General features: G+C 36.5%; 1 protein-coding gene across 20 annotated transcripts in view; it reads right to left on the bottom strand.

Moving 5' to 3' along the window:
* Window positions 1-32: 32 nt before the first annotated feature.
* Window positions 33-21080, bottom strand: part of CARF (calcium responsive transcription factor) — a 75989-nt gene continuing 54941 nt past the window's right edge. For 12 of the 20 annotated variants that reach the window (NR_136330.3, NM_001322428.3, NM_024744.17 and 9 more), the window contains 7 exons: window positions 18234-18377; window positions 16558-16791; window positions 13800-13962; window positions 10964-11027; window positions 6611-6741; window positions 5855-6224; window positions 33-4790 (listed from right to left, as the gene is read on the bottom strand). Coding sequence is in view for 14 of the 20 variants with exons in the window: in NM_001322428.3 (NP_001309357.1) it covers window positions 4672-4790; window positions 5855-6224; window positions 6611-6741; window positions 10964-11027; window positions 13800-13962; window positions 16558-16791; window positions 18234-18377 (1225 nt within the window). In the remaining 6 variants the exon portion in view is untranslated. Of the gene's footprint in view, window positions 4791-5854; window positions 6225-6610; window positions 6742-10963; window positions 11028-13799; window positions 13963-14711; window positions 14815-16557; window positions 16792-17259; window positions 17408-18233; window positions 18378-21080 lie in introns of those variants that run through there. The other 8 variants (NR_148033.2, NR_148034.2, NR_136331.3 and 5 more) reach the window with 6 other exon arrangements.

The raw sequence follows: 21080 nt of genomic DNA, 5'->3' as shown, positions 1-21080 counted from the left end.
AGAGAAATGAAAGCATAAGTCTGTACAAAGACTTGTACATAGATGTTCATGGAAACTTTATTCATAATAGCCTAGAACTATTAATGTCCATCATCAAAAGAATAAACAAATTGATATATTCATAAAATGCAGTTCTACTCAGCAGCAGATAAATGATTTATTCATAAATGCAACAATATAGACAAATCACAAAATTACTATGCTAAGTGACAAAAGCTAGACCAAAAAAGGTTCATATTATGTGATTTCATTTGTAGCAAACTGATCATAAAGAAAGCAGATCAGTGGTCTGGTGATGGTGGGGTGGCAAGGAGGATTAAGTAAGAAGGGATCACAAAGAGGTACTATGAAACTTTGAGAGTGATGAATATGTTCATTACCTTGCTTATGCTGATGATTTCATGGCTGTATGCATATGACAAAACTTATCATATTGGGTACTTTAAATATGTACAGTTTATTGTATTTCAATTATACCTCAATAAAGATATTTAAAAATAAAATCCCTCCTGGTACATGATTCACACCCTGTACTCTGGTTTTAGTATTCTTATACCCAAATCACATTACCAAAGGTTTTCCATATTAACCATACACATTATTTTTCTCAGGAATCACTTTAGCATCCATTAATAAATGTGTTTTTTCTATTCCCAAAGTTTTAAGAATTCAGTCAGCAATGAATACTTGTATTATTCAACAGTAAAATTTATACATAACATGTATGTGGCAAAAATATACTAAGGCTTTGTCCTTATGACTAAGTTAATTAAGTAGAATGACAGATTTTTAGATATTAAAACAGTGTATCATTTAAGATGTTTGATGTCTAAGCCAGCTGATGGAGAAGAACCAATGCAGTATCCCTTCTGGAGAGATTAAGATTTTCAAGGTCCTCAAAAATAGGTACAGAGTGGAATAAAGTTTAAAAAAAAGCAAAGAGGGAAAAAATTAATAATCCCTTCTCTTTTGATCACATACTTTGTCATTACTCCTAAAATATAAAGCTATACTTGAAAATGTCATGGTGCCAAAACATCGGGGGGCTGGGGGTGGGTGGGCGTGGAGAATTACTTATTACACACATTGTTTTAAAATGTTGATGCTTGGCTGAGTTGCAGGGTATTAAATGCATATATGTCTCCCCAAAATGTAATGCTAACAGGAGTTACTTGTAGTTATGCTTAAAACTTTCAGGTTCCAAATTGGACATAAATCTCTGGCCAAAATTCTCGGGTATTCAAGTGTTTATTCAGCATCTTCAAGATGAACAAAATTGCCACTATCTCTAAGAAAAATATAAAAAGAAAACTAACAAGTATAAAAAAAAAGCAGGATTTTTAATGAAAAAAATACATGGTAACAAGGACACTATACATCAAGTTGCTATATATATATATATATATATATATATATATATATATATACGCACAGACATTTTTTAAACCTCTTTTTTTAAACCTGGTACAAGTTAAACAACATCTTTCTCATACCCACATGATTAAGTATGTATTCTGACAGGATATAAAGAAGATGAAACACAAGCTGGTGGGTCTCAGAATTAGAAACTCTAATGCAGGACCAGATCCCAAAAGCTATGTTTTCTATCACTTTTGTGACATTTAGGAAACATTTACCTTGCATAAAATATAAAAGCTTTTCCTTTTAATTATACTAACTGTTTGTACAAAAAATCACTATTGAGGGAAAGGTCCACCATGGCTGTATTTATCTATAATTCACTGTAGTATATATAAAGTTCACTTGGAAGTTGGAAATGTGGAAACTATAATGAATAAACAAGCTGAGCTGTAATTGTGAATTTTTTACTGCTAATTTAGAATGTCCAACTCACTCCTACAGATATTACAACTTACAATACATGACACACACAAAAAACATGTCAAACTTTGCTGTAGAGCTGTTAGAGAAAGCCAATATAGATACTGAAAATTTTAGAAGCTTGTATTTAATACCCTATACATTTCAAAATAATTAAACATTTTAAATATGTAAACATAGTTTTCAAAAAGTGATGCTGAGCACCTTTAAACACAATACTGATACATTGTGACTAAACATGCATTTAGATGACAATGAATTTTTAAAATCTAATTTAGAAACCATTTTTAAAGAGCTACTCCTTGAAATACTTACATGAAAATATTGATAGCTCCAGTTTCTACCTAAAAACCAAAAGAGTATATAATTAGGGATTTAAACTTTTCTTCATGCTCTTGGTTTTTGTGGGGTTTTGTTTTATTGGTTTGTTTGTGGGAAAGTTGCTCTGTAACTTTCTGATTAAAAAACAGTATCAGAAGAGACATTCACACAGAATCAAGTGAGAAAAATATTATTTTTCTAACTATACCAAAGTCTGAGTCCTCTGACACATCTCATCCTCACAGGTAACTGACTAGAGTTTGTATATTAACAAGCATTTCTCCTTTGCAAATCAACATCAAAAAAGAAAGGAATGTCTCCAAAAGAATGTAGTTCAATTGGTGAAACAGCTAATAATAAACCATTACCACTATTACCACTATTGAGACGTAACGATTTATTATTTAGAATCTTGAAAGAAAAGGATTCCATAAAAACTAGAAATAACAAAAGAATATTACCTATAGTGCAACACTAAACTATAAATTAATTTGGACTTATTCCTTTTATGTACACACAGATTAAGAGAAATCTGGATTTGAGGTAATTAAGTGCTGTGTTTAACTTAGTGTAACATAATTAAATTTGGCAACCTGCCTGTATAAAATGCCAACATCAAATGTTTTAAATTCATAGGAAAAAGTAAAGTAATTTTTATTAAAAATCATACATATAACTAAATATTAGCTTTGCATTAAAAAGGGTATAAATAATAAACTTTATATTAAATAAAATATAAATCTAAAGAGCAGGGAATATTAGAATTCCACCTACCTCTACTATAACAGTACTTTATATTTAGATACATGTCATGTACCTGAAACCAAGTCAATTAAGAATGGGAGGCTGGACTTAGAAAAGCCAAAAGTGACTCATATTCATGTAAAGTATTAAGGTTAAATTTGATATTATATTGTGCATGTTTTGAATATTAAACATTGATATCCATTTAAAATCTTTATTTTTAAAATATAAAATATACCCACAAATGGTCTCTGGAGAAACAAAAGCCTTTAGGTTAATTTCCTGACAATTATAGTTGATATTTCTAGTTTACCAATCTTTTTTTTTTTTTTGAGATGGAGTTTTTCTCTTGTCACCCAGGCTGGAGTGCAATGGCGCGATCTCGGCTCATTGCAACCTCCGCCTCCGGTGTTCAAGCGATTCTCCTGCCTTAGCCTCCCAAGTAGCTGGGATTACAGGTGCCCACCACCACACCCAGCTAATTTTTGTATTTTTAGTAGAAACAGGGTTTCACCACGTTGGCCAGGCTGGTCTCGAACTCCTGACCTCAGGTTATCTACCCACCTCAGCCTCCCAAAGTATTGTGATTACAGGTGTGAGCCACCATGTCCAGCCTAGTACCAATCTTTAGACAACAGATGCTTATAATCAATATACTGCTTAGTAGTAATTTGGTATTTGAAGTTAATATACTTACTTAACAAAAAAATCCCAGATCAGATGTTTTAAAGTTTTAAATATAAACTAAATTTTAAACTATAAATACTTACCTTAAAATACTAGAAATCCTAATATCATCAATTCAGTAAGAGCTCTGGCATAGAAAAATGTAACTACAAATCAAATTATTTTTTAACCAGTGCTGGATCTTCATTACAAAATAAGGGGGAAAAAATCCTCTGCTGTCATCAAAAAGTTTTCCAAATTATCTGTAAACACCAAGGAATTCTATTATTCTTTTTCAATTCTCTTAATTTCTACATCTTTCTGCCTATAGTGTTTTACTTCCAATATAGCACAAATCCATGCTACATATGTTGATTTCTGTTGCTTATCTGATTAATTCAAGTAAAAATTCTCAGTACTTACCAAGACACTTTAAATTTCTATTAGATAACCATTAGTATACTACTGGTTTGTAGTTAAAAGTACAAAAATTGGAAGGGAAGAGGCTAAAATGCAACTGCACAGTTTCCACAGATGTAGCTGCTGGACTTTGTGTTATGATGTAAAATCTAATACTTCATCTTTCTTAATGAGATAGATTATAAACATTTTCTTACCTGTCTGGCAATTAACAATTTCTTCACAACTTTAAGGAGAGAACAAGTTCTTTTTCAGAACTTAAAAAAAAAATTCATGATATACATACACACATACAAACATACATTCACACAATGTTTTTGTTGCTGTTGTTCTTTTCTGTTTTGTAATAACCAAAATTGAATATTTCCAAGGATAAGTTAAGTAAACTATTTGTGTTCAGACTATATTACTGTGGATAAATTCAGAACAGCTTTTGAAATACTGGCCTTATTAGATAATCAAAGAGCATAAAAATTATACAAAATAAGAAGAGTAAAACATCTCTTAAGGAAGGTAAAAATATGGAACTGGCAACAAATATATCAGTTTTAAATAAAAGCTTCTCATCAAACTGGTCTTCAGTCCAATTATCTCAATGCCACGCTTTGACTATATTCACCTTCCTTTCTAAGACATCAGAAGTCACCAGAGTTGTAAATTCTGAAAAGCTTCAATAATTTATGTAGCAGATAATTTCTTATAGTCCACAGTTTTTTTTGCTTCCATAGACAATGCTGGTTCTTTGGGTTCTTGTTTAACTTGGCTCACAGAAATGGTACTTTCTGGATTTTCTTCAACTTTAAAAACAAACAGAAAAATCCTAAAAGTTAATCTATTTCATGACACTGGAAGAGAGGGGAAAAATATTTTATATTCTAAAAATAACTTCTGTGAAAACTTTTGTTCTTCAAAGCAAACTGCAAATCTTTTCCCACAAAAGTGCCCAATCCAGAACAATTCATGTGCAAAGAAGTAACAGATAAAGTAGGAGTTAACAGAGTTTACTTCTATGTTGACAGAGATTAGTAATAAAGTGAAGGTAAGAAGGTCTTGGGCTAAACCTAAATGCCCAAGTCTTACTAGTTCCCTTTCAACTCAACATTTATTTTGTAATTCCAAATCTTCCTTTTGGCCAGGTGCAGTGGCTCACTGCGTGAGGAGTGGGAGGCTGAGGTGGGAGGATTGCTTGAGCCCAGGAGTTCAAGACCAGCCTGCGCAACAGGCTGGTTTAAAAAAAAAAAATTAAAGAATTTGCCCAGTATGGTGGCATGTGCCTGTGGTCCCAGCTACTTGGGAAGCTGAGGTGGGAAGATCGCTTGAACCAAGGAGGTCAAGGCTGCAGTGACCTGTGATTGCATCATTGTACTCCAGCCTGGGTGACAGAATGAGACTCTGTCTCAAAACAACAAAAAACCAAAAATGAAAATCTTCCTTTTAACCTTCATATATGCCTACTTCTTTCATTTTTCTTTGTGTATGTGTGCATACATCAATTCTTCCATAATAACCTTTGCATGAAAATATTTTTCCTTGTTTAATTTTTTCCTATTAATTTTTTCATGTACTCTAAAATGACCTTCCTGGTTTCACATTACCACAGATTTTCCATGGAAAACAGGTAATTAGGGAATAAGTAATTTCTACGGTACTAAATAATTAGAAATAAGAAGAAGAAAATTTAAGGTTAAAAGTTCTGAAACGCAGGGTAATGAAATCTCCTCCTTCTCTCTCATAATTTTGCTTCATTTACATAATATCATAGACCCACTGGGTAGAAATAATAGTTTTATCTATAGTATAATATAGTGATGATAATCCACAAAGGTTACAACAATAACATCATAAATTGATTTCAACTTACTAAGAGCTGAGTGGTTGTCTATAATCTGTATTGGAATAGTCTGCACATCTCCCAACAGAATCCGATGAACAGTTCCTTCCAGATTCCCTGTATCCTCAACATCTCCAACTTCTACCAGCTCGTCCATTGCAACTAGATTTTGATCTGGTTCTGGAAGGTTACCCATGGTGGAGGCAGTACTATTGTTTTGGGTTAAGCATGTATCTCTTTGAAGGCTATGACTTTGACCAAGCAGTAGAGAATTATTATTCATTACAGCACTTCCTATTGTATCCAGAAGTCCTGAAGGACTAGAGGACGGCTGGTTATTTACTGATACCACAGCTGGTGATTCATCAGGAGAGGTGTACCTTGGTTGTAACTGCAAACCCTTTTAAACCAAAAAGAGTACATCAAAATGTTTGAATTTCCTATGTATGATATTCTCATAGGATATACAATTCTTTTGACAAAAAATCCGAACAAATAAAAAGAGTATGGTTAAAAATAATTATTAAATGAAGAAAGAAACAAGAATCAAGGGAAAAGTAGTACAACTAAATTTACTGCATTCATAGTCAACTTTAAACTTTTAAAAAACATACTGTTTGAATTATCTTAAATCAAGAAACAAAAAGATCAGGAAATTAACAATGAAAACATATTTCATCATTATTATAATTCTGTAACAATTCTCTAAAATCCCTAGGAGAAGAAGAGGTAAATGGAGGAATAAAGAGAAGGACCTCAAATTTGGATATTTTACTGGATACCTACCTGTAGTTGTGTAAATATTTTGGGCTGAAATGAGGAGAGTGAGGAGAGCAAGTGGGTTGGCTCAGGAGACAAAGAACCCCTGGTCTGATTTGTTTCCACTTTGGTGGTAATTGATTCTCCTGGTGAATTTCCTAAATTATATTAAAGAAACTATTAAAATAATTTTTATGGCTTCTATGAAGTCATAAAAATACTTTATTACAACCCTTTCTGTCAGAACTAAAATAGGAAATACTTTCAAAGTTTTGCAAAGGACTTCAATAAGTCATCTAGCCCAAGGGTCCCTGACCCTACCAGTCTGTGCCTTGTTAGGAACTGGGCTGCACAGCAGGAGGTGAGCATGGGGCAAGCAAGCCTTACTGCATGAGGAAGCCTTACCGCGTGAGCTCTACCTCGTGTTAGATCAGCAGAAACATTAGATTCTTGGATCTAAGTTGCACACTCCTTATGAGAATCTAATGCCTGATGATCTGAGGTGGAACAGTTTAATCCCAAAACCATCCCCCCAACTCTCCACCCTGGGTCTGTGGAAAAATTGTGTTCCACAAAACCGGTCCTTGATGCCAAAAAGGCTGGGGACTGCTGATGTAGCCCACTATTTGCAGAACCTGGCAGATAATAAGAATCTCTAAGGGATGTTTAAGAAAACATAGATTCCTAGGTTTAACCTCCATTAATTTTAATTCGGTAGATCTAGAATGGGATTGTCCCTCCATATCCATGGAAGACTGGTTCCAGGACCTCCATCAGAAATAAAAATCTACAGATGCTCAGTTCCTGATATAAAATGGCATCGTATTTGCATAAAATCTAAGCATATCCTCCCACAAACTTTAAATCCTCTCTGGATTACCTATAATACACAATACAATGTAGAAGTCTTCCAATATACTTTAAATCATCTCTAGATTATAATAGGGAAAAAATATGTACATGTTTGGTATACATCCAATTAAAAATATATTTTTGGTCAGCAGTTTGTTGAAGCCATGGATACAGAACCCATAGATACAGAGGCACAACTATATATATATATATATATATATATATATATATATATATATATATACTTGAAAGACGCTATATCTGTAACTCGAATCTAGTGTGTTCTCCGTACTATAATGCTGGACTATACTAAACTTCTCTAGAAGTGTGAAATCTAAGGAGCTTCTCAATTAACACCAAACTTAATTCACCTTTTGTAGCCCTAGTAACTAGGACAATACCTGGAAAAATTGGTCTTTAATGATAACAGCATTAAATTTATTTCAATAACTCATTTTGGTATAAATGAATAAAAATAAAAACTCTATTTTCTTAGTATCTCAAATTTAAACTAATTGTAGGGAATTTGAATCATTCTCATGTAATTCTTATACGTTAACCCAAATATATTCATCTCTTTAAGTCAGTGAAGAACTAATTATCGGCCAGGCGAAGTGGCTCACGCTTGTAATCTCAGCACTTTAGGAGGCCAGAGCAGATGGATAACTTGAGACCAGGAGTTTGAGACCAGCCTGGGCAACACGGTGAAACCTTGCCTCTAGTAAAAATACACAAATTAGCCAGGCGTGGTGGCATGTGCCTGTAGTCCCAGCTACTTGGGGGGCTAAGGTGGGAGGATCACTGGAGCCCAGGAGGCAGAGGATACAATGAGCCAAGATCGTCCCACTGTACTCAACCATGGGTGACAGAGTGAAACCCTGTCTCAAAACAGAAAGAGAAAACCTAATTATCAATGAACATTTATTGCTTCCATAATACAACTGACTGATTTTAAAATGGCCAGAGTATCAGAGAAGAATGGATTTAAGCACTGGCTTTCTGTGTCACCTTCAATACGCTATATAACTCAGTTTCTTTTCTTTTCTTTCTTTTTTTTTTTTTGAGACAGTCTTGCTCTGTTGCCCAGGCTGGAGTGCAGTGACGCAATCTCGGCTCATTGCAACCTCTGCCTCCCAGGTTCAAGTGATTCTCCTGCCTCAGCCTCCTGAGTAGCTGGGACTACAGGTGTGTGACACCATGCCCAGCTAATTTTTGTATTTTTAGTAGAGACAGGGTTTCACCATGTTGTCCAGGCCAGTCTCGAACTTCTGACCTCAGGTGATCCACCTGCCTTGGCCTCCCAAAGTGCTGGGATTACAGGCGTTGAGTCACTGCACCCATCCTATAACTTAGTTTCTAAACTTCAGCTTCCTCATCTGTAAAATCAGCTTAAGAGTCCTTTCTCAATGGACCACTGAGAGGACTAAACAGCAATCATGCATTTCTTGGTTTCTTCGTTATTAATGTCCTTTTACTTCACTGCTGTAGTCACCCACCACTATCATCATACTCTGGATGATCCTACCTCTAAAATCTCAAGTTCAAACATCTCATTCTCTGATCACAACCTCTTATTCTTATTTTTAGATTTTTATTCTTTTTTTGAGATGGAGTCTTGCTCTGTCATCCAGGCTAGAGTGCAGTGGCATGATCTCAGCTCACTGCAACCTCTGCCTCCCAGGTTCAAGCGATTCTCCTGCCTCAGCCTCCTGAGTAGCTGGGATTACAGGCATGTGCCACCATGCCCAGCTAGTTTTTGTATTTTTAGCAGAGACCAGGTTTCACCATGTTGGCCAGGCTGGTCTCAAACTCCTGACCTCAAATGATCCACCTACCTTGGCCTCCCAAAGTGCTGGGATTACAGGTGTGAGCCACCGTGCCCAGCTACAACCTCTTATTCTTCCAGAGATTTTGCTCATGTATTTCACTACAATTGTTCTTCAACCTCATGTGAACCTCCAGTCAATTAATCCCTCAGTTTTCTTCAGATCCATCAACCTCTTTCTTAATAAAATTCTTCCCCCATCCAGCTTACAGTCCTAGGTCTATAAAATTTCAGTCACTCTTTTACAAGTACCTAAACTCTCTTGCCTCTCTGTCCTTTGGTCATATCCCTCCAGTAAAACCCTAACTCTGCATAAAAATGGCTTTCCTGCACCAATACATGGGAAGCTGAGTGCCACTGAAAAAGAAACTCACTAATTCTACTAATACCAATTCACTATTAACTTTGATTGGACCTTCACCTGTATCTGGCAATGTTTCACTCTCTATCCAGGATAATTTCTAATTTGCATTTCCCTCAAATCCATGCCACCCTTCTTGAAACCTTTCCTTATCCTTAGCACTCTTACAGAGAAAAGGAAAGCCAACAGAAGTTTCTTCAACTTCCCATCACCATCTTCATCTATCTTTTCAGTTCTCTACTCTTAAAATACGTTCCCTCAACCCCATTTGCCATTGCAAAATTCCTGAAAAAGTGGTACACTTTTTAAGGAGTCCCTACTCCTTCCTCATCTCCCATTCACACTTCAATCACCCCAATATGGCTTCCTCCCAATCCACGCCACTGAAATGGCTCAGATACTCAACTTTACAAATCTAGTAAGTCCTTTATTCTCTCTCCTGTCCTACCAATGCTCTATTCTTTTGCCAGTGTTGCTGAGCTCAGTAAATGCTATCAGTCAGATGCTCATTATAGAAATTCAGAGGTTTGGCCGGGTGCAGTGGCTCACGCCTGTAATCCCACCACTTTGGGAGGCCAAGGTGGGTGGATCACCTGAGGTCAGGAGTTTGAGATCAGATTGGCCAGCATGCCAAAACCCTGTCTCTACTAAAAATACAAAAATTAGCCAGGTATGGTGGCGTGCGCCTGTGATCCCAGCTACTCGGGAGGCTGAGGCTGAAGAACCACTTGAACCCGGGAGGCTGAGGTTTCAGTGAGCCGAGAACGCACCACTGCACTCCAGTCTGGGTGACAGAGTGAGACCGTCTCAAAAACAAAAAAAGAAATTCAGAGGTTTAACTTTATATAGGGGGTGAAGTTATGAATGTACTTAAAAGAGATTACAATTTGAGTACTAAGAGGAGTTTGCCATGCATAAGAAAAAAGACATTTCCAGAACAGAGAAGAAATGCAAAAGGGTGGAAATAAGTTTGGAATATTGAAAGGGCCCAGCAGTAAGAACACATGAGAAAAAGCAACCGTAAAAAATGGACCATAGTTCCCAGATCAGGGCATCTTAGGGTTATTACTACTGGAATTAGCCAGACTTAGTGAATTAGCTACAGTTAACTGTGCTAGTTATCAGCTTCAAAATGTCAGTCATAAAAAAGCATTAAAAACAAAGTATAAGAGGAAATTAAAATAGTAGGAAGTATGTTGATAAACCATAACATAGCTGCTCCTACGTCTTTGGATCCTGGTTTCCTTATCTATAAAATTTGATTAGATGAGATAATATCTTAAGTTCCTTCCAGTTAAACACCATTTGAATTTATATTTTAAAGGTATTCAAGAAAACCTACCTTCTGCAAATGTAACTGTCATGGTCTCTTTGAGAATATTCCCACTGTCTGTAGTCCATTGAAGCTGAAATGGGAACATTTATTTCAGTAAAAATAAAGCTCTTATATTGAAAAATATCTTAAGACGTCATTACGACTGTCATATTTTATTCACAGTATGTGATTTATTCTGCAACTACTCTCTTCACTTGTTCATATTCTTCAAGCACAAGTATACTTTACTATACAAATACATTAAATTCCTGAGTTCAGATAGCAAGGATTTAGACAACAGTGTAGATGACAAGGACTACTTCTAACATTTAGATAGTGAATAATTAAGAGTTATTGGGCTGGGTACAGTGGGTCATGCCCGTAAGGCTTGGGAAGCCAAGGCTGGAGAGGTGCTTGAGGCCAGGAGTTTGAGACCAGCCTGGGCAACAAAGTGAGACTCAGTCTCTACAAAAACTTAAAAAATTAGCTGGGTGTAATGGCTGGTGCCTGTAGTCCCAGCTGCCAGGAGGCTAAGGTGGGAGGACTGCTTGAGTCTTGGAGGTCGTGGCTGCAGTGAGCCGTGATTGTGTGAATGCACTCTGGCTGGGTGACAGTGAAACTCTATCTCAAAAAAAAAAAAAAAGACAAAGAGTTATGGATTGTAAGAAATAGTTTTGGCTTTTAAAATATCCATATTTTTTCAGATACTGCATTTGGATAACAAGTTAGGAAAGCAAAATATACTACATCTCAGATTTTAATGGCATAATCACTGGCTGTATTGTAATTAGTTGTTTCTGGGTAATTAATCTCTTCAGAGTAGGCAAAATTTTCACAGAGATGACTAATATTCAGGGAGAAACTACCATATCAAACTATGAGTTAAGGTCGGGTGTGGTGGCTCACGCCTGTAATCCCAACACTCTGGGAGGCCAAGGAGGGCAGATCACGTGAGGTCAGGAGTTTGAGACCAGCCTGGCCAACATGGTGAAACCCGTCTCTAATAAAAACAAAAAAATTAGCCGGGCATGGTGGCTGAAACCTGTAATCCCAGCTACTTGGGAGGCTGAGGCAGGAGAATAGCTTGAACCTGGGAGATGGAGGTTGCACTGAGCCAGGATCATGCCACGGCAATCCAGCCTGAGCAAGAGAGAGAGAGACTGTCTCAAAAAAAAAAAAGTATGAGTTAAACTGATATCCACAGATGGCATATGGAACCAACATTATCACTTTGGGCAATCAAGTATGAAGAACTGTATGTATGTATGTATGTATGGATGGATGGATGGATAGATGGATATATATTTATTTATTGAGATGGAGTTTTGCTGCTGTCACCCAGGCTGGAGTGCAACGGCATGATCATGGCTCACTGCAACCTCCGCCTCCCGGATTCAAGTGATTCTCCTGCCTCAGCCTGCCAAGTAGCTGGGACTATAGGCACCTGCCACCGCGCCCGGCTAATTTTTGTATTTTTGGTAGAAATGGGGTTTCACTGTGTTGGCCAGGCTGGTCTCGAACTCCTGATCTCAGGTGATCCACTTGCCTCAGCCTCCTAAAGTGCTAGGATTATAGGCATGAGCCAACGCGCCCAGCCCAAACAACTGTATTTAAATTTGCCCATTTATTAAAAAAGGGAGGGGAAATATATACAATAGTACTCAATAAATGTCTGTTAAATGAGTAAGAATAATTTTTACAGAGAAAATACATGTTGATTTAAAAATAAAGATTAGTGGTTTTTTGTTGTTGTTTTTCAGATGAAGTCTCAGTCTCCCAGGCTGGAGTGCAGTGGCGCTATCTCAGCTCACTGCAACCTCCGCCTCCCAGGTTCAAGCGATTCCTACCTCACCCTCCCGAGTAGCTGGGATTACAGGCGCACGCCACCACACCCAGCTAATTTTTTTTTCTTTTTTTAGACGGAGTCTCGCTCTGTTGCCCAGGCTGGAGTGCAGTGGCACGATCTTGGCTCACCGCAAGCTCCGCCTCCCGGGTTCACACCATTCTCCTGCCTCAGCCTCCAGAGTAGCTGGGACTACAGGCACCTGCCACCATGCCCGGCTAATTTTTCGTATTCTTAGTAGAGATGTGTTAGCCAGGATGGTCTTTATCTTCTGACCTTGTGATCTGCCCATCTCAGCCTCCCAAAGTGCTGGGATTACAGGCGTGAGCCACTGAGCCCGGCCACACCCAGCTATTTTTTGTATTTTTAGTAGAGATGGGGTTTTGCCATGTTGGTTAGGCTGGTCTCGAACTCCTGACCTCAGGTGATCTGCCCGCCTCGGCCTCCCACAGTGCTGGGATTACAGGCACAAGCCACTGTGCCTGGCCAGTGTTTTTATTATGGAGTTGGGAATTCACTGATTTTTCTTCTTGTGAAAGTAATAAAAAACTTTTAGTCATTTTCTAAACATTGAGTATTTACATTTTAAGAAAAAGATGCTATATATATATATTTTTTGAGATGGAGTCTCGCTGAGTCTCCCAGGCTGGAGTACAGTGGTGCAGTCTCAGCTCACTGCAAACTCCGCCTCCTGAGTTCAAGTGATTCTCCTGCCTCAGCCTCCCAAGTAGCTGGGATTACAGGCACCCACCATCACGCCCACCCAATCTTTGTATTTTTAGTAGAGATGGGGTTTCACCGTGTTGGCCAGGCTGATCTCAAACTTCTGACCGCAGGTGATCCACCCGTCTCGGCCTCCCAAAGTGTTGGGATTACAGGCATGAGCCACCACGCCCGGCCTATTGTATTTGCTTATATTGCAGTTATTCAGATGGCCTAACACTAGCCATTCTTATTAGACTAAATATTAATAGAAGCTGAGAAAGACTCTGTAATAAGGAATTATGGTTGTAATCATACCGTTGCTGGAATAATCTCTGAGTTATATACCGTATCTCCATTTCTCAAGGATTTCTGTACCTCATGGATGTGATTTTTTATATCATTTACAGTTGGAAAAAAAGATAAATTATGTCTTTCAGGTACCTCATCGGGTTTGAACAGTTCCCTTTCCACAAATTTTCTGTAAAGAATACAAAATGGAATAAAGACATAAACCATTTAGCAATATGCCTTTAGATCAAAAGACAGAAAGGTTCTCTTTCAGTATAAACTTCTATAAAGTATGGTTTATAGCTCTGTAAGTAATTTATATTTTCCTATTTAAACTTTTTCCATACAACATAGAATTATTGCAGACTATAGAAATGTAATATTTTCATTGGTAAAACATCTAAATATATTAGAGTGAGTTTTGTTATTATTTTTTGAGATGGAGTCTCGCTCTGTCGCCCAGGCTGGAGTGCAGTGGTGTGATCTCGGCTCACTGCAACCTCTGCCTCCCGGGTTCAAGCGATTCTCCTGCCTCAGCCTCCCGAGTAGCTGGGACTACAGGAGTGTGCCACCACGCCCGGCTAATTTTTTGTATTTTTAGTAGAGACAGGGTTTCACTATGTTTCACTAGGCTGGTCTCGATCTCCTAACCTCGCGATCCGCCCGCCTCGGCCTCCTAAAGTGCTGGGATTACAGGCGTGAGCCACCACGCCCAGCTGAGCTTTGATATTTTTATGAATTTAAAGAAATCATTATTTTCAGTTTAAGTATAATAATGTTTTTAATGCTATGTCAGGCACTGTATGGAACACTTCACATCAAATATCTCCTTTAACCCTTAATGATCAACGACATACGTACAATTATCATTCCCACTTTACAGATGATAGAACTAAGGACTGTAGAAGTGAAATAATTTGCCCAAAATCATACACCTACCTAGTAAATAAGAGAGCTTGGGCCTATACCCAGGTTATGTGCGTAAACATCATGTTACATTGCTTCCAAAAGTATCAATTAATATTATATGAAATATGATGGGCTTGAATTTTACACGGAGACAAAAGAAGATAGAAATAGAAGGCAGCACTGTTATTTAATTGTATAAAAAATCAATATATAAAAGAAATGATAAAATTTAACATATATATGCTTATTACATTTGGTGGACCAAATCGCAGAACTGTATTATACTTCCATTGTTAAGATTCAGGTTTAGTAAATAGTGAATGGCTTTACCAAATTTTTGCCTTATGCTAATGATGCCCCAGTGGAAATAAATATAAAATGTCTAAGAAAACTGCTAAATAGAAAAGTCATGTATTAATTAGGAAATAATTCTAGGAATTACAGTAAGCTCTCAGTTAACATCATTGTTAGGCTCCTGGAAACTGAGACCTTAAGTGAAAGGACATACAACAAAACCAAATTATTTTCTCCAATGCTATAAGAAAACACCGAATCAGGTGCAGTGGCTTGCTTCTGCAATCCCATCTTCTTGGGTGCATCACTTGAGGCCAGGACTTCAAGACCAGCCTGGGCAACATAGCAAGACCCCTGCTTCTTTTACAAAAAAAGTTAAAAAAAACAACAAAAGAAAAGACGTTGAACAGAACGATATAACTCAAGGACCTGCTGTATTTCCTTTTGGTTAAAGTAGCAGTTTTCGAGAACCTATTCATGCCTTTAAGAGGGGGCTTACTATATTTATTTTGTTATTCAGATCAGATTACACAATAATCAGTAAGAGCAAGGCTAAGTATCATAAATCACGGTAATAGGCACAGGCTATATAGCGTTAGGCCTAAATTTCAGTTCTGCCACTGCCTTTTTTTTTTTTTTTTTTTTTAGACGGAGTCTCGCTCTGTAGCCAGGGTAGAGTGCAGTGGCGCGATCTCGGCTCACTGCAACCTCCACCTCTCGGGTTCAAGCAATTCTCTTGCCTCAGCCTCCCGAGAAGCTGGGACTACAGGTGCGTGCCACCATGCCCAGCTAGTTTTTGTATTTTTAGTAGAGACGGGGTTTCACCATGTTGGCCAGGATGGTCTCGATCTCCTGACCTCATGATCTGCCCTCCTCGGACTCCCAAAGTGCTGGGATTACAGGCGTGAGCCACTGCGCCTGACTCTGCCACTGCCTCTTAAGCCAATTATTTAACCACTCTGAGACTCCAGTTTCTCATGTGTAGAATTGGGATAAATATACCAACTTAATAGTGCTATTGTAAGACTAAATGAGATCATACATGTAAAAAGCCTAGCACAGTACCTGGCACACACAAAATAAGTAATTATATAATTACTTATATAATTATTATTATTTCCTGAGGATCAAAAAACTTAGACCAGAGTACTACAAATAAAATTTCATTAGACAAAGAACTATCCAAATTATTGTGTTGTAATAAAATTTAACTGCATTTCAAATAGTATCTTGGCCTGGGTTTTAAAATCTTTGGTGCTACAAAGGTTTTCTTCTCTAAAAGTATTTATTAACTATTTAATTTTATACATCATTTAGACATAGTCCAATTTGCCAAATCCAAATATAGAATGTCTCAAGTGAGTAATCAGAATTATAATAAACCATATTACACCATTGCTTGCCAAGCATTTGTTAGAAAATGATCAGTTTATAAATAAGATTATTTTAATAAATTAATAAACTATATTCCTTATCTACCCTGATAGCATATATTTTGGAAAATATCTCCAATGTTCACTGTATTATTTAAAGCAACAAACAAAACTGAAAAATGTAAAAGAACAATGCTCTTCTATTGTACCTTAGCTGTTTCCTTACTGCATACACTTGTTCTATTCCCTGTGATACTAATTCTTGAATCTTATGTGCTACTTGAGGATGTAAACGTGAGGGTAATGCACAATTCTCATCTCTAACTGCAGTTTCCTCTTCTTCAAGAGAAGACACAGGAAAAGGAGAAGGTGACAAAGTGAGGCAGGGAGTCTCTAATTCATGATACTGATGAGCTTGCTGTGTAGGTAACTGTACATACCACCTGGTAAGAGAAAATATTTAAAATTACTAAAATTTAAACATTAAAATTATTTAATATTATTAGACCAAAGTAGGAATCATAATTACTTAGGTTAATACTCATAAAGGAAAGGATTAATCCTTTAAGAAAAAATTATATATGGTTATTTCATATCAAATAAAATTTAAAATGATCTCTTAACTCTTCTAAGATTTGCTTTATATCCAATTAAATTAAAATATTTGTAAATATTTATAGACTTTCACTGTGGTCCTACAGTTGAGGGAGATACAGGGATTTTAAGTATATATGAAAATGGCATTTTAAATTTCATATTAATTGTATTATTTTGGGTTCATGAGAAAATTCATATTAAGTACATTTTACCTCAAAATAAAGAGAAGACATTGTAAATCATCATCTTTTGAACTGTGTATTTTCCCATTCATCAAACATTCGTCCCAAATTACACTTCTCTGTTACACCTACCATCCTTCCAACCAAAGATAGAACCTGTCAAGACTGAACTTTATGGTTGATTCTTTCCTCACAGGAGCTCAACATACTGCCTCTACAGCACTCCCAGCTCCTGCTGGCCAAGTGAGCAAGAGAATTAACTAAAGGTGAATGCAGATCTCTTGGAGAGCCATGAAAAAAAAAAAAAAAGAAAAGTAGACGGTAGGAAAATGAACTAATCTGGTAGGATACTGCTTTAATTGATATTTCTGTATAAAATTATTACAATAACTGACAATGCCTACTTAAAAATTATATGCAATGCTCTTCAAACTGCAGGATCTAATTTTTTTAGTGATATTTTTGACTTTCATTGAAGGATCTAATTGTTGACTCAATTTATTTTTCACATACCTAAAAGTTTTTTTTAAAGATCACACGAAAACGATATTCCATACACTTAAATCCATTATACAATAACAAATTATTCACCCAGACTGACACATAAAGGAAAGTAAAAAAGAATGCTAATATTTCACATTTAAAACCTAAAGCATAAAAGGTGTGAAATGGAATTTTATTTACGGCTTGGAATTCATTTCTGGCTGCCGTAAGTAATCAAAGATTAGTTTTAAAAAAATGACAGGCGGCTGAAGTTTCTGCTCATAGTAAGTAGCTAAAACAAAGTACTAAATATATAATAAAGTGTATTAAGTATGTCTTTGTCATTTTGAGAAAAAGCTTTTACATGGTATATGGTATACAGAGTATATGCTATACAGTATGGAATAATTCTTTGGTCTGAATTATCTACAACTTGGGGCTAAGAAACTCAATGGCTTACACAGTGGCAAATCAATTTAATACCTAGGGAACTATTGATATCTCTACCTTATAAAACCGTTACTTAATGAAATAGTTGGAAAACTATAATTTCCCTTACAAAATAATTCTTGCAAATTGAGCTAATTAATTTGTAAAATAAAAGAACTATAAAAATGTCATACCTAAGAACACCACCAGCATCTACCAAGTTCTTCTTTAGCATGTTAAAAGCTTTCTCCTGCTCCATTCTGATAATTTTCTTGTCAATTTTGGGGTCTGTAGGAACTCTATATTCAGGAAACTTCTGTACCTTTTTAATGTAAATCCTTTATACAAGATAAAGAAGAATTTGTTTCATTATATTATAATCTCAAGATAATCTATCTTATCAACCAGAAGTCTACTTTAAGCATTTAAGCTTAGAGAAAATTCAATTTATCTGTAAAGTATTCAGAGGCTTATGTAAAATATATGCCATATTCTCAGTTGTATTAATACTTAGCAAATTAAAAGTAAACATTATTTAAAAATATCTAAGTACTTACAGATTTTACTATTTTTTTCCCGTAGATTTGCCTTCTCTTCATTCTCCTGGAAGGCATAATCACCTCATGCCTGGATTACTTATTTATTTATTTATTTATTTATTTATTTATTTATTTATTTTTTGAGATGGAGTTTTGCTCTTGTTGCCCAGGCTGGAGTGCAATGGCATGATCTCAGCTCACCACAACCTCCACCTCCCAGATTCCAGTGATTCTCCTGCCTCAGCCTCTCAAGTAGCTGGGATTACAGGCATGTGCCACCACTCCCGGCTAATTTTGTATTTTTAGTAGAGACAGGGTTTTTCCATGTTGGTCAGGCTGATCTGGAACTCCCAACCTCAGGTGATCCACCCACCTCGGCCTCCTGAAGTGCTGGGATTACAGGCATGAGCTGCCATGCCTGGCCCTGGATTACTTTAATAGCCTCCTTCCAGGCCTGTGCCTCCAATCTTTCATTACTTAAATCCACTTGATAATTCAATGTCACAGGTGATTCTCCTGCCTCAGCCTCCCCCAGTAGCTGGGATTACAGGCATGTGTCACTATGCCTGGCTAATTTTTTTTGTATTTTTAGTAGAGACGGGGTTTCACCATGTTGGTCAGGCTGGTCTCAAACTCCTCACCTCAAGTGATCCGCCCACCACAGCCTCCCAAAGTTCTGGGATTATAGGCGTGAGCCACCACACCTGGCCTCTATAGCTTTATTTATATGGTTCTCCTAACCTACAATATCATCCCTCTAACTCTCTACCCACCCAAATTCAATTTAAACTTCAACATCCAGTTTAAATTGTACTTTCTTTCCTGCCATGAATTTGTATGGATATATTCCTTCTTTAAATACCTAAATAGGTAGTTAAATCATATATTTCACACTATATTCTATACTATCATGTTGTCTACTAGTTTTTGTTTCCTGATCCGTTCCCTGGGATTAAGTAAAATTTTATTCCTCTTTTGGTTTCCCTCCTTCCTATGGCACCCAATGTAGTTTCTGGGCACAGAGTAGACAGTCAAAAAGTACTTGTAGAATGATGGAAAATAAAATTATTTCTTCACATGTAGAGGTTTTCTCCCAAGTTATACCTAAAGTTTTTATAATGCTTATATTTAAGAAGCAGTTGATAAGTTTCAAGTCAAGGCTAAATGGAAAAAAAAAAGCAACTGAAAGTTTGTTTCACAGTCAGGTTTAAATATTACCTAAAGTTAATATTGCAGGATTAAATATGAAAAGCCTTGTAAATGGGCTTTAAAAACTTCTTGAGAATGCTAAGGTATTTATTTTATTTTATTTTTTTGAGACAGAGTCTTGCTCTGTTGCCCAGGCTGGAGTGCAGTGGCGCAGTCTCGGCTCACTGCAACCTCCGTTTCCTGGATTCAAGCGATTCTCCTGCCTCAGCCTCCCGAGTAGCTGGGATTACAGGGGCCCGCCACCACGGCTGGCTAATTTTTTGTATTTTTAGTAGAGATGGGGTTTCACCAGTTGGCCAGGCTTGTCTTGAACTCCTGACCTTGTAATCCGCCCACCTCGGCCTCCCAAAGTGCTGGGATTACAGGCGTTAGCCACCATGCTCGGCCAAGAATGCTAAGGTATTTATAATGTGAGATGTGATGCTAAAAGTGTTTCAAAGATCAACTAAGTCCAACCACTACATATTATCTTTTAAATTTTTTATTTTACTTAATAGTTTAAAACACTTTCAATATATTTTAAGTCTTAAAATACTTTCAATGTCTAAAAAATTTACATTCATAAAGGACATTGTAAAATCTTTCATTGGTTCACATTTTTCATTCTTACCAAGAGCAATGACTACTCTGTAGTCCTAATCTATCTAAAACTTACTACATTGGTCTCATAATTTGCTGCTAAATTGATAAAATCGCTCTAAAAAGCAACTTTGCAATATTTGTCAACATTTTTAAAAGATACAGCCTTTGCCCTAGCAATTTCATTTCTAGGAATTTTTCCTACTGAAACACTTGTAGGAGTGCACAAATATGTACAATGTTAATAACTGCAGCTTTGTATAATACTAATAAGGAATACCTTTCACAGCTTACATGAATTAAATAATTCATCCATAAATGGAATATTATATGGCTATTAAAAAATAGTACTTTTATGTACATCTATGGAGTCAGCTTTGAGATACACTGAGAATGAAAAAAAGGAAAGTATGTCATTACATTCACACTAGTATGTAACATATCTGTGCAGCAGATAACCACAATAGGCATTCAGATTGAGAATAAATCTATGTGAATTCATATCAAGAAAAAAGGTACACTACTATGTAAGTTTAAGGAAAGAAAATATTAGTGAGCTTTACTGAGATTTTCAACAACATTTATAGGGGTAAAGAAGGAGATCTCTGTCTCTCTGCCTTTATATGCATCCATATACACAGAATATCTTTGGAAGATGACTCAAAAAACTAGTAAGAGTTGTTGCTTTAAAGACAGAACAAATGTGGGTAAGAG

The sequence above is a fragment of the Homo sapiens genome, chromosome 2 (assembly GCF_000001405.40).
Source record: "Homo sapiens chromosome 2, GRCh38.p14 Primary Assembly".
Taxonomy (NCBI): Eukaryota; Metazoa; Chordata; class Mammalia; order Primates; family Hominidae; genus Homo; species Homo sapiens.
The sequence above is the reverse complement of the archived record's forward strand: the minus strand, read 5'-3'. Positions and strand labels throughout refer to the sequence as shown.